Here is a 13,087-nt window from a genome sequence, read left to right on the forward strand (position 1 = left end):
TCTCCCTTCCTGTGCAGCTCAAGTACCAGAGCACAAGACCGCAGTAGACAGATGGGAGAACCAGCCTGGCTTAGAAAGATCATGTCCCAAATAGGAACCAATATCTTTTTTAACAGTTTCATAGATCTAAATTCCAGATCCCATAGGGGACATACGCATAGACTGCACACAGGGGAGTCCAAATCCAAACTGTGGCTTACCAACAGGTATTCATGTTGATTTGCAGTCGTCCCAAGTTTAGAGGCATATCAGGAGGTCTTTTTTTCTTAGGTACTGTTACCTGGTAACACAGTCGACATTCACCTTTATTAGGTTTCCAGGGGAACAGAACTAGAGAGTTAACTCAAGGTCAGGTTTATTTAAATAGAAAGAATGAATCCCAGGAAGTGGAATTTCTGGGTGAAAGGGTATATGTGTTATTTTTTATTTTTGGAGATCTGCTTAAATAGATAGTTGCAGCTTATATACATCATGCCTGAAGTTAATAAAATTATGTAAAGAATGAAATGAATGCTTGTGGTTACTGTTCTTGTCAAGGTGACCACAAAGTAACAACGATGGAAACTTTTTTTATAGAAGACACATACATTTATTCCTCCCATGGGATTTTTTTTTTTTTTTTTTTTTTTTGCCTTAAGACATTTTCTCAAGTGACTCCCTTTAGAAAGCTGTAGATTGGCCAGAAATGAAAATGTGCTTTTCAGCAGAAGCTCTGAGAGTAGTAATTTCATTAACTTCTCTCAAATCAACTTTGTGTCCTTGAACAATTTTTTTTAAAGTATGGTATCACAGCACTTCAGATGGCCATCTGGTGTTCAGTGAAAGATTTAAAGAATAATCAGAGCTGCCCAAAGATGAAATATGCTCCGTAAGAGGCAGTGACGTCCTCATCATTAGGTAACCTCCTGATAGGAATTGTATGATATGAATTAAAATATTGGGTAGATGGTAGACTTTGATGATATTTTAGACCTTTCAAGTAAATACTTTTATCCCATGATTCTGTCACACTTGTTTTGCATATTAGTGCATGTTTCTGTGATTAAAAAGTTGAAGGTTATGAAAACATTTTCTGTGTAATTCAGACAAGTGTTCTCCCTGACCCCAAATTATCGGTGCATTTGCCTCAATCACCCACTTTTCTTTGCCTGGAGAGTATAATATTTCTATAGTATTTCTGTTTCCATATAGATTTTTCTTTATTCATCACAGAGTTCTAAATGGCAGCTGCCTACCATTCCGAGGGAATTGTACACAATGGAAACACTTAGGGCAGAAAATAGATTTCACTTCAAGGCTCAGTCTAGTCATTTTAAAGGTTTATGTATTTCACCACTTTAAGTGAATGTCTTGTCAGCCTCTCATAGTTGAAACATTTTAAATATATATCAGAGGAATTACAGAAAGTATTAGGAGTTGCAGAGAATCTAGTCTTCTAATTAGAATCTGTTAGTTATTTTCAGAATGAAGCAATGACTGGTTCTCACACCCAGAATCAAGTACTGTCTCAAATCACTCTGGCATTAATGGAGGACACTGCGTAAGACAGCTGTGAGAATAGGATATGAATTGTTTATTAAAATAAAATGAACACTGAGATTACAGCTTAAGAAAATGCTGACATTTTATGCTGAAGTAAAATATACTTATTATTTGAATCTTTTATAGTTAGCTGTCCATTATTTATACCAACTCCATTCATTCATTCAATAAATACTTTTGTTGTTTGTTTGTTTTGAGATAGAGTCTCACTCCTGTAGCCCGGGCTGGAGTGCAGTGGCAGTCCTACATCCTGGACTTGCCAGGCCCAAGCAATTCTCCCACCTCAGCCTCCTGATTAGCTGGGACTACAGGCACGTGCCATCATCCCTGGCTAATTTTTTGTATTTTTAGTAGAGACAGGGTTTTGTCATGTTGCCCAGGTTGTTCACAAACTCCTGGGTTCAAATGATCCGCCCACCTCGGCCTCCCAAAGTGCTGGGATTATAGGCGTGAGCCACCTCACCTGGCCTCAGTAAATGTTTGAGGCCCTGAGACATGATAATAATTAGGACAAAAATCCCTGATACTATTTGTGTTAGGAATAACACTCAAAATCCTAAGGAAATTAAACACTCGAACAAAGGATTCTTAGCAAAGCAATTTTACTTCTTCGCAGAGGGGTGCCTCCTTGGCCAGTCACCATGAAAGCACACCTGAACAAAGGGGCACGAGGGCCTTTATTCCTGATGCAAGTCCTGCCCCGTACCCTTTCCCCATTGGCCAGGGTCGGGTCGTACAATCTAAACTAATCCCGGTTTTGGCTAAACATTTGATTTTTTTAGATAAGGTGAGCATGTAAAAGAAAGTGGAGAGGAAGGGGAAGGGGTGTCTGTAATGAGCTAGAAAGTTAGTCCTCTTTCCAAATAAGGAAAGGAATGTGAGCTGGTACTGTGGCGTGCCTGGGCATCTAACAAAGGCAAAAAGGAAAAAAGATAAAGGAGAAAAGCTGGGGGGTACTATGAATTAAAGAATAAAAGATTGATCAGATTATTTTAAGAGAAACCTCATCATATCCCACATTTGTTTTCTTCTTCTAATAAGAAGAGGCTAGTCTCAAACTCCTGGGCTCAAGCAAGCCTCCTGCCTTGGCCTCCCAAAGTGCTGGGATTATAGGCATGAGCCACCATACCTGGCAGAAATACGGTTTTTAAATGAAATCTTTTATACAACCCCTACATATCAAACAAAATTAAAGCTGCTTTAGTAGTAGCATTATTACCTCTTTTCTAACAGTCTGAGAGAAAATTAGAAAATGGAATCAAATTTGAAAATTAATGGTAGAGGTGCTACTAAAACAATGAAAATTGTTGACACTACCTTCACTGTTGAGAGTTCAAAGAGGTATAAGGATTTTAAAATATAGATGTCATTATTTTTTTGTTTGTTTTAAGAGACAGGATCTTACTCAGTTGCCTAGGCTGAAGTGCAGTGGTGTGATCATAGCTTACTGTAGCTTCGAACTTCTGGACTTAAGGAATCCTCCTGCCTCAGCCTATCCAGTAGTTGGGACTAGAGGCCCATGTCATCATGGTGGCCAGCTAATTGTTTACAATTTTTTTTTAGAGACAGGGTTTCTCTGTGTTGCCCAGGCCGGTCTTGAATTCTTGGCCTGGAGATCCTCCCACCTCAGCATCCAGATTAGCTAAGATTACAGTTGCAAGCCACTGCACCTGGCTTGAGGTCATTGTTGACCCTGAGAACAGTTTCAATAAAATTGGGAAAGACTGAGAAGTTCATAGTGTTCCTGGACCAAACTGAGGGTCGGGCTGCTATTTCTCATGGCCCAATAACGAGATGCAATATGAACTGGGAAGGAAAAGAGTTGAGGCCTGTGGCATTTCTTCACACCCCCAATAAAACTTGTTTAATCCTAAATGAGTCCTGTTAAGAATTCCGTTATTTTGTCATGCCTTAAGGCCCAGGAAAGGCCTAGGCAAAACTATCCATGGGCTTTTGTTATATTCCAGCCTTTGTAGAAGGGCACTGGCTTTTTTAGCTTTTAATATTTAACTTAACCACTCAGTCAGTGCTGAAAATGTTGTAATGGAGGCCTGCGTTAGTGCAACCTGGCCTGCCACAACAGGGTGAGCTGCTTAAATGACAGAGGAAGATATAGGTAAGAAAGGGTATTATTAGCACAGCTTTGTCCCTGAGGATGCAAGATGGGTGGGATCCAGAAAACCAAGAGAGAACTTGAATGGGAAGAAAGACAGAACCCTGTCCGTTAATTCATGAAGAAAGAATGGGAATGAGAATACAAGCCATTTTGTAAGTGGAAGCAGAAAGTTGAAGAAGTTCAGAGTTTTTGGTTACCATATCTCTGTCGTTTAGGAGGCAGAGCCATCCCTGAGGGAGAGAGGAAGGCAGAAGTTAGATGTAAGTGCATACCTCATGGGCACTGTTTTCAGACAAAGCATCTACAGGAGTCATATACTTTCTTAATTTTTCCTTAGCCCAAAGGAAGAAAGATAAGGAAAAAATGTAGCATTCTGCCTAACAAAGAAATTGGAGGCACTTTTCTACCTTTAGGAGGTAGAAAATAGTACCCTGAAAAGTCATTAGTATGCACTGCATAAGACTTAAGTGTAGCTTAACTAAGTTGCTTCTCCCAGTAAATAATATCATCCATCTATTCAGAAAGCTGACAGTCATCCTTGATAACACTCTCTCCATTTCTCACATCCAATCAATCACAAATCTTGCTGATTTTTAGCTCTTCAGTATTGCTAAAGTCTGTGTATTTTTTGGTGACTACTGCCTTTATCTAGGCCACAATTATCTTTTGACTAGATTACTATAGTAGCTTTAGTAAGTCTATCTCTCTGCATCTGAAGTGGTCCTTTCTATTGCCTGAAGGTCTTCACACATTTTATACAGGATCCTTTACAAGATTTTTTTTGGCACAGTGTCTTAAACAGTAAGAAATATATCATGACCAAAGTACACACATATATTTATATAATTAATAGTTTAGATATTGACAAAGATGCCAAGACCATTCAACGGGAAAATAATAGTTTTTTCAACAAATACTGCTGGGACAACTGGATATCCTCATGCATAAGAATGAACCCCTATGGTACACAGTGTACAAAATTAACTAAAAATGGATCAAAAGAAAGTACCTGTTTCTGCCTTCTAGAGAGAGGCTTCACTTCCCAGCAATATATATATATATATTTAAAAGGATTGAAAACCTAAATTAAAGAGCTGAAACTATGAAATGCTTAGAAGGAAACACAGGTGTAAATTTTCATGACATTGAATTAGGCAGTGATTTCTTCAACATTGTCCCAGAAGCCCAAGCAACCAAAAAAAAAAAAAAAAAACACTTGAACTTTACTGAATTAAAAGCATTTGTGCTTTAAAGAACACTCAAGACAGTGAAAAAAGCTGCTGAGGTGCAGTGGCATGAAAATTAAAGAACAGACAGCTGGAGTAATCATTCCTGCAATCCCAGCTACTTGGTAGGCTAAAGTGGGAAGACTACTTGAGCCCAGGAGTTTGGGTCCAGCCTGGGCAACATAGCAAGACCCTGTCTCTTTAAAAAAATAAAAGAAAGAAAGTGAAGGCAGCTCTCAGAATGGGAAAAAATACTTGCAAGTCATTTATATAACAGTCTAGTGTCCAGAATACTTATAAGAACTCTTACAACTCAATAGTAAAAAGGCAATGTAATTTAAAAACAGGTGAAGGATTTGAATAGATATTTCTCCAAAGAAGATATTCAGATGACAAATAAGCATATGAAAAGATGTGCAACATGATATGTCATTAGGGAATTACCAGTTAAAACAACTACTACACCTATTAGAATAGCTTAAAATCTGCCGGGTGTGGTGGCTCACACCTGTAATCCCAGCACTTTGGCAGGCCGAGGCAGGTGGATCACCTGAGGTTGGGAGTTTGAGACCAGCCTGGCCAACATGGCAAAAGCCCGTCTCTACTAAAAATACAAAAATTAGCCGGACATGGTGGTGCATGCATCTGATACCAGCTACTTGGGAGGCTGAAGCAGGAGAATCGCTTGAACCTGGGAGGTGGAGGTTGCCATGAGCCGAGATCGTGCCACTGGACTCCAGCCTGGGCAACAGACTGAAACTCTCATTTCAAAAAAAAAAAAAAAAAAAAAAAGGTAAAAATCCAGAACACTGACAACACTGAATGCTTGTGAGGATGTCGCCCAGGCTGGAGTGCAGTGGCGCAGTCTCAGCTCACTGCACCCTCTACCTCAGGGGTTCAAGCGATTCTTGTGCCTCAGCCTACTGAGTAGCTGATACTATAGGCATGCGCCACCACTCCTGGCTAATTTTTGTATTTTTAGTAGAGATGAGGTTTCATCGTGTTGGCCAGGCTGGCTCATGCCTGTAATCCCAGCACTTTTAGAGGCCAAGGCGGGTAGGGTCACTTGGTCATGAGTTCAAAACCAGTCTGGCCAACATGGTGAAATCCCATCTCCACTAAAAATACAAAAATTAGCCCGGTGTGTTGTCCGGCACCTGTAGTCCCAGCTACTTGGGAGGCTGTGGGAGGGGAATAGCTTGAACCCAGGAGGCAGAGGTTGCAGTGAGCCGAGATTGCATCACTGCACTCCAGCCTGGGTAACAGAGCAACACAGTCTGTCAAAAAAAAAAAAAAAAAAAAAAAACCCAAAAAAACAAAATGGTACATAAATGAATTCCTACTGTATGAACTTTTGAGCATGGCTTTTTTTACTCAGCATAATTCTCTGGAGATTCCTCCAGGTTGTTGTACATATCAATAATTTGATTTTTTTTTTATTGCTAGTTAATATTCCACAGTGTGATATACCACCGTTTGTTTAAACATTCACACTTTGAAGGACATCTGGATTGTTTCCAGTTTTGGGCTTTTATGAATGAAGTTGCTATAAACATTTATGTACAGGTTTGTGTGTGAACATACATCTTTATTTCTCCAAAAAAAGTGCCAGGAATGGAATTGCTGGCTCATTAAGTAATTGCAGGTTTAGTTTTCTAAGAAACTGCCAAACTTTTTAATTCCTACCAGCGATGCATAAGTGATACAGTTTCTCCACATCTTTGCCAGGACTTCGTGGTGTCACAACTTTTTGTTTAATTGATAGGGGCGTAGTGTTATTTTACTTTGGTTTTAATTGGTATTTCCCTAATGGCTAATGACGTTGAACCTCTCTTCATGCACTTACTCGCTATTTGTATATCCTCTTTGGCAAATTGTCTCTTCATCTTTTAACTCACTATTTGTATATCCTCTTTGGCAAATTGTCTCTTCATCTTTTAAGCCAATTTTCTGATTGGATTGTTTTTTACTGTTGAGTTTTGAGAGTTCTTTATGTATTCTAGGTACTTGTCCTTTGTCAGATATGTGGTTTGCAAATACTGTCTCGCAGTTCATAACTTGTCTTTTTATACTTTTAACAGGGGCTTTTGTAGGGCAAGTTTTTTTAATTTTGACGAAGTTCAGATTATCAGTTTGTCCTCTTATTATGTCTTTGATGTCAAGTCTAAGAAGTCTGCCAAGGTCTAGATCTTGAAAGTTTTCTTATATTTTTTCAAAAGTTTTATAGTTTTACACTTTACATTTAAGTCCATGATTCATTTGAGTTAATTTTTGAATTAGGTGGGAGACTTAGATCAAGGTTCATTTTTTTGTGTACAGATAGGCAACTGTGTTAGCACTAGTTGTTGAAAAGGCTATCTTTCTTTCATTGAAACGCTTTTGTACCTTTGGCAAAAACAATCAGCTGGGGATATATTTGTGGTGGATCTGTTTCTGGGTTTTCTGTTCTGTTCCACTGATGCATGTGTCTGTGCCTCCACCAATAACACACAGTCCTTAATTACTGCAATTATTTAGTAAGTCTTGAATTAGGGTAGACTGATTCTTCCCACTTTCCTTTGAAATTATTTTGGCTCTTTTGCATTTCCATATACATTTTACAATAATATTGTCTGTATCTGCCAAAAAAAAAACTGGCAGGGGTTTTGCTAGGAGTTGCATTAAACCTGTATGTCAATTTGAGGAGAATTGACTTTTTTTTTAATCTTTCCAATGTTTACACCTTTATTTCCTTTTTTTCTTTTTTTTATTATACTTTAAGTTCTAGGGTACATGTGCACAACCTGCAGGTTTGTTACACATGTATACATGTGCCATGTTGGTGTGCTGCACCCATTAACTTGTTATTTACATTAGCTGTATCTCCTAATGCTATCCTTCCCCCTTCCCACCACCCCACGACAGGCCCCAGTGTGTGATGTTCCCCTTCCTGTGTCCAAGTGTTCTCATTGTTCAATTCCCACCTATAAGTGAGAACAGGCGGTGTTTGGTTTTTTTGTCCTTGCGATAGTTTTCTGAGAATGATGGTTTCCAGCTTCATCCATGTCCCTACAAAGGACATGAACTCATCTTTTTTTATGGCTGCATAGTATTCCATAGTGTGTATGTGCCACATTTTCTTAATCCAGTCTATCGTTGTTGGACATTTGGGTTGGTTCCAAGTGTTTGCTATTGTGAATAGTACCACAATAAACACATGTGTGCATGTGTCTTTATAGCAGCATGATTTATAATCCTTTGGGTATACACCCAGTAATGGGATGGCTGGGTCAAATGATATTTCTAGTTCTAGATCCTTGAGGAATCACCACACTGTCTTCCACAACGGTTGAACTAGTTTACAGTCCCACCAACAGTGTAAAAATGTCACTATTTCTCCACATCCTCTCCAGCACCTGTTGTTTCGATTTTTTAATGATCACCATTCTGACTGGTGTGAGATGGTATCTCATTGTGGTTTTGATTTGCATTTCTCTGATGGCCAGTGATGATGAGCATTTTTTCATGTGTCTGTTGGCTGCATAAATGTCTTCTTTTGAGAAGTGTCTGTTCATATCCTTTGCCCACTTTTTGATGGGATTGTTTGATTTTTTCTTGTAAATTTGTTTAAGTTCTTTGTAGATTCTGGATATGAGCCCTTTGGCAGATGAGTAGATTGTAAAAATTTTCTCCCATTCTGTAGGTTCCCTGTTCATTCTGATGATAGTTTCTTTTGCTGTGCAGAAGTTTAGTTTAATTAGATCCCATTTGTCAATTTTGGCTTTCGTTGCCATTGCTTTTGGTGTTTTAGTCATGAAGTCCTTGCCCATGCCTATGTCCTGAATGGTATTGCCTAGGTTTTCTTCCAGGGTTTTTATGGTTTTAGGTCTAACATTTCAGTCTTTATTCCATCTTGAATTAATTTTTGTATAAGGCGTAAGGAAGGGATCCAGTTTCAGCTTTCTACATATGGCTAGCCAGTTTTCCCAGCACTATTTATTAAATAGGGAATCCTTTCCCCATTTCTTGTTTTTGTCAGGTTTGTCAAAGATCAGATGGCTGTAGATGTGTGGTATTATTTCTGAGGGCTCTGTTCTGTTCCATTGGTCTGTATCTCTGTTTTGGTACCAGTACCATGCTGTTTTGGTTACTATAGACTTGTAGTATAGTTTGAAGTCAGGTAGTGTGATGTCTCCAGCTTTGTTCTTTTTGCTTAGGATTGTCTTGGCAATGCGGGCTCTTTTTTGGTTCCATATGAACTTTAAAGTGGTTTTTTCCAGAGAATTGACATCTTTATTGTGTTGATTTTTCCAGTCCGTAAACATTGGAGAAAACATTCAGTCTTTCATTGTCAAATATAATGTTAGCTGCAGATTTTTTAAATACATGTTCTTTATCAAGTTGAGAAAGTACCCTTCTATTCCTATGTTTCTGAGAGCTTTAATCATCAATGGATATTACCTTCTGTCAAATGCTTTTTCTAATTTAGTTAATACGCATACTTTTGTGATTTTTTTTAGCCTGTTAATGTGGTGGATTACATTGATTGATTTTCAAATATTAAATCACCCTTGCATTCCTGGAATAAACACCACTTGGTCATGGCATACAATTATTTCTGTATGTTGCTGAATTCTTTGTACTATTATTTTGTTGTAGATTTTTGTTTTTGTATTTATGATGAATATAGATCTGGAGTTTTCTTTTCCTCCAATTATTTTTACCTTTAATTAATAGGTAAGGCTCTCAGAACAATTGTATTATGTCAGTTAAATTTTATCACTTTCAAATCTGACACATTTTGAAAAACATCCTGGCCAGGTGCGGTGGCTCACGCCTATAATCCCAGCACTTTGGGAGGCCGAGGCGGGCGGATCACCTGAGGTCAGGAGTTCGAGACCATCCTGGATAACACAGTGAAACCCTGTCTCTACTAAAAATACAAAAAATTAGCTGGGCATGGTGGCAGGCACCTGGAGTCCCAGCTACTTGGGAGGCTGATGCAGGGGAATTGCTTGAACCCGGGAGGCGGAGGTTGCAGTGAGCTGAGATCACGCCGGTGCACTCCAGCCTGGCAACAGAGCAAGACTCTGTCTCAAAACAACAACAACAACAACAAAATACATCCTTCCGGTAAGATTTAGAAAATAATAATAAGAAGAAAAACATTTTTAAAATACATAATAGTTATTATTGGCCGGGCATGGCGGCTCACGCCTGTAATCCCAGGACTTTGGGAGGCCGAGGTGGGCGGATCACGAGGTAAGGAGATGGAGACCATCCTGGCTAACACGGTGAAACCCCGTCTCTACTAAAAATATAAAAAATTAGTTGGATGTGGTGGTGGGCACCTGTAGTCCCAGCTGCTCAGGAGGCTAAGGCAGGAGAATGGTGTGAACCTGGGAGGCAGAGCTTGCAGTGAGCTGAGATTGCGCCATTGCACTCCAGCCTGGGTGACAGAGTGACAGAGTGAGACTCCGTCTCAAAAAAAGTTATTAATACACAAATAATGAGCTCCCCTGTCATACTTAATGTTGGCTTGATTTAAATTATATTTATGGCTAGGCGTGATGGCTCACACTTGTAATCCTAGCACTTTGGGAGGCTGAGGCAGGCTGATCACTTGAGCCCAGGAGTTCAAGACCAGCCTGGACAATGTGGCAAAAGCCCATCTCTACCAAAAATATAAAAATGAGGTGGACATAGTGGCACACGCCTGTAGTCCCAGCTACTCAGGAGGTTGAAGCAGGAGGATCACTTAAGCCCAGAAGGTCAAGGCTGCAGTGAGCTATGATTGCACAACTGCACTCCAGCCTGGGCAACAGAGTAAGACCCCATCTCTAAATAAATAAATAATTTATATAATACTCTGAAGTAATAAATCCCAGTATATAATGAGGTGTTTATGATGCTTCATTTTGATTTTGATTTAGTTCCAAATATTTCTCTCTACTCTTTTTTATTAAAAACTCGTGTCACTTCAAGTTCTAAATATTTTTAACTTTCTCTTGAGATTTCTTCGACTACTGTATTATTTAAAAGTGCTTTGTTTAATTTCCAAGTGTTTTGAGATTTTCCAGCTATCTTTCTGTTACTGATTTCTAGTTTAATTCCATTATTGTAAGAGAGCAGAACATTGTATGATTTCCCTTTTACATTTGTCAAGGTGTGTTTCATGGCCCAGAATGTGGTCTGTCTTGATGAATGCACCATGTAAGCTTGAAAAGAAATGTTGTCTGCTATTTTTGGTTGAAGTAGTCTGTAGAGTCAGGTTATATCCAGTTTGTTAATTGTGCTATTAACTTCAACTATATTCTGATTTTCTGCCTGCTGCATCTGTCCATTTCTGAGAAATGGATATATTAAAGTCTGCAGTGATAATAGTGGATTCATCTTGCAGTTCTATCCATTTTTGGCTTACATATTTTGACACTTTATAGTTAGGTGCACACGTTTAGTATTTTATTTTCACAGAGTACTGATTCCTTTATCATTTTGTAATTCCCCTCTTTATCTCTGATCATTTTCTTTGAAAAGAAAAAAGTTTTCCTGTTTGTACCATCTTTGTCTAGTTTTTGTATCAGAGTAATACTAGGTTATAAAATGAACTAGGAAGTGTTTCCTCCTCTTCTGTTTTCTGGAGGAGATTGTATAAAATTGGGTGTTAATTCTTCTCTAAGTGTTTGGTAGAATTCTCCAGTGAAACCTCTGGGCCTGGAGATTTCTCTTTTGGAAGTCTTAAAATTGTGAATTATTATGAATTAAACTTCTTTAATAGTTACAGGGCTATTCATATTATCTATTTCATAGTGCATGAATTGTGGTAACTTGCTTTTTGAGGAATTGGTCCATTTTGTCTTATCAAATTTATATGTATAAGGTTTTTGGTAGTATTCCCTTATTCTTTTGATGTCTGTAGGGTCTGTTTTAATTTTTAATTTTTGTGGGTACATACTAGGTGTATCTATTTATGGGATAAATGAGATGTTTTGATATAGGTATACAATGTGAAATAATCATATCATGGAGGATGGTATATCTATACTATGGGGTCTCTTGTGATATCTCTTTTCAGTCCTGATACTGGTAATTTTGCATCTTCTCTTTGTCTTTTTCTAGAGGTTTGCCAATTTCACTAAAGAATCAGCTTTTTGGCCAGGCGCGGTGGCTCACACCTGTAATCCCAGCACTTTGGGAGGCCAAGGTGGGCGGATCACGAGGTCAGGAGATCGAGACCATCCTGGCTAACATAGTGAAACCCCGTCTCTACTAAAAATACAAAAAATTAGCCGAGTGTGGTGGTGGGCGCCTGTAGTCCCAGCTACTTGGGAGGCTGAGGCAGGAGAATGGCATGAACCCGGGAGGCAGAGCTTGCAGTAAGCTGAGATCCAGCTACTGCACTCCAGCCTGGGCAACAGAGCGAGACTCCATCTCAAAAAAAAAAAAAAAGAACCAGCTTTTTTTGTATCATTGATATGTTCTATTGTTTTTCTGTTTTCAAAGTCATTGATTTCTGCTCCCTGTTATATCCTTCTTACTGCTTGTTTTTGGTTTAATAATAATTTTTTTTTGAGACAGAGTCTCACTCTGTCACCCATGCTGGAGTGCGGTGGCACAAACTTGGCTCACTGAAGCCTCTGCCTCCTGGGTTCAAACAATTCTCCTGCCTCAGCCTCCCAAGTAGCTGGGATTACAGGCGCACGCCACCACACCCAGCTAATTTTTGTATTTTTTAGTAGGGGTTTCACCATGTTGGCCAGGCTGGTCTTGAATTCCTGACCTCAAGTGCTCTGCATGCCTTGTCCTCACAAAATGCTGGGATTACAGGCATGAGCCACCATGCCCAGCCTTTTGTTTTGTTTGGTTTGGTTTTTAAAGACACGGTCTCAGTTGCCCAGGCTGGAGCACAGTGGGCATGATCATGAGGCTGCCTGCAGCCTTGACCTCCTGGGCTCAAGCTATCCTTTCTCCTCAGCCTTCTAAGTAGCCGGGACTACAGGCACACGCCACCACACTCAGCTAAATTTTTATATTTCTGTAGAGACAGGGTTTCACTATTTTGCTCAGGCTAGCTTGAATTCCTAAACTCTAGTAATCTGCCCACCTCGGCCTCCCAAAGTGCTGGGATTACAGGCGTGAGCCACTGTGCCTGGCCTATGTCTCTCTTAATCTCAATTTTTGAGATTATTGATTTGAGATATTTCCTGTTTCTAATGTAGCTATT

The 13,087-nt window shown here is 39.3% G+C and overlaps 1 long non-coding RNA gene across 2 annotated transcripts in view, besides 1 other annotated feature; it reads right to left on the reverse strand.

Annotated features, from left to right (window-relative positions):
* The window catches only part of LOC107987100 (uncharacterized), a 37,965-nt gene extending 25,898 nt beyond the window's left edge, over positions 1–12,067 (reverse strand). Inside the window, exon 1 of one of the 2 annotated variants that reach the window (XR_001746843.2) lies at positions 201–12,067. This is a non-coding gene — a long non-coding RNA (uncharacterized LOC107987100). Of the gene's footprint in view, positions 1–155 lie in introns of both variants that reach the window. The other variant, XR_001746844.2, reaches the window with a different exon arrangement.
* Positions 7,174–7,343: an enhancer, noted in NCBI's record as "experimental_110244 CRE fragment used in MPRA reporter constructs". NCBI's record gives its function as "activates a minimal promoter by MPRAs in K562 erythroleukemia cells, with activity observed for the introgressed 9:97280880 variant allele {active_cell/tissue: K562}" and the evidence as "EXISTENCE:reporter gene assay evidence [ECO:0000049][PMID:34662402]".
* Positions 12,068–13,087: the final 1,020 nt, after the last annotated feature.

Source organism: Homo sapiens, chromosome 9 (genome assembly GCF_000001405.40).
Source record: "Homo sapiens chromosome 9, GRCh38.p14 Primary Assembly".
Lineage (NCBI taxonomy): Eukaryota > Metazoa > Chordata > Mammalia > Primates > Hominidae > Homo > Homo sapiens.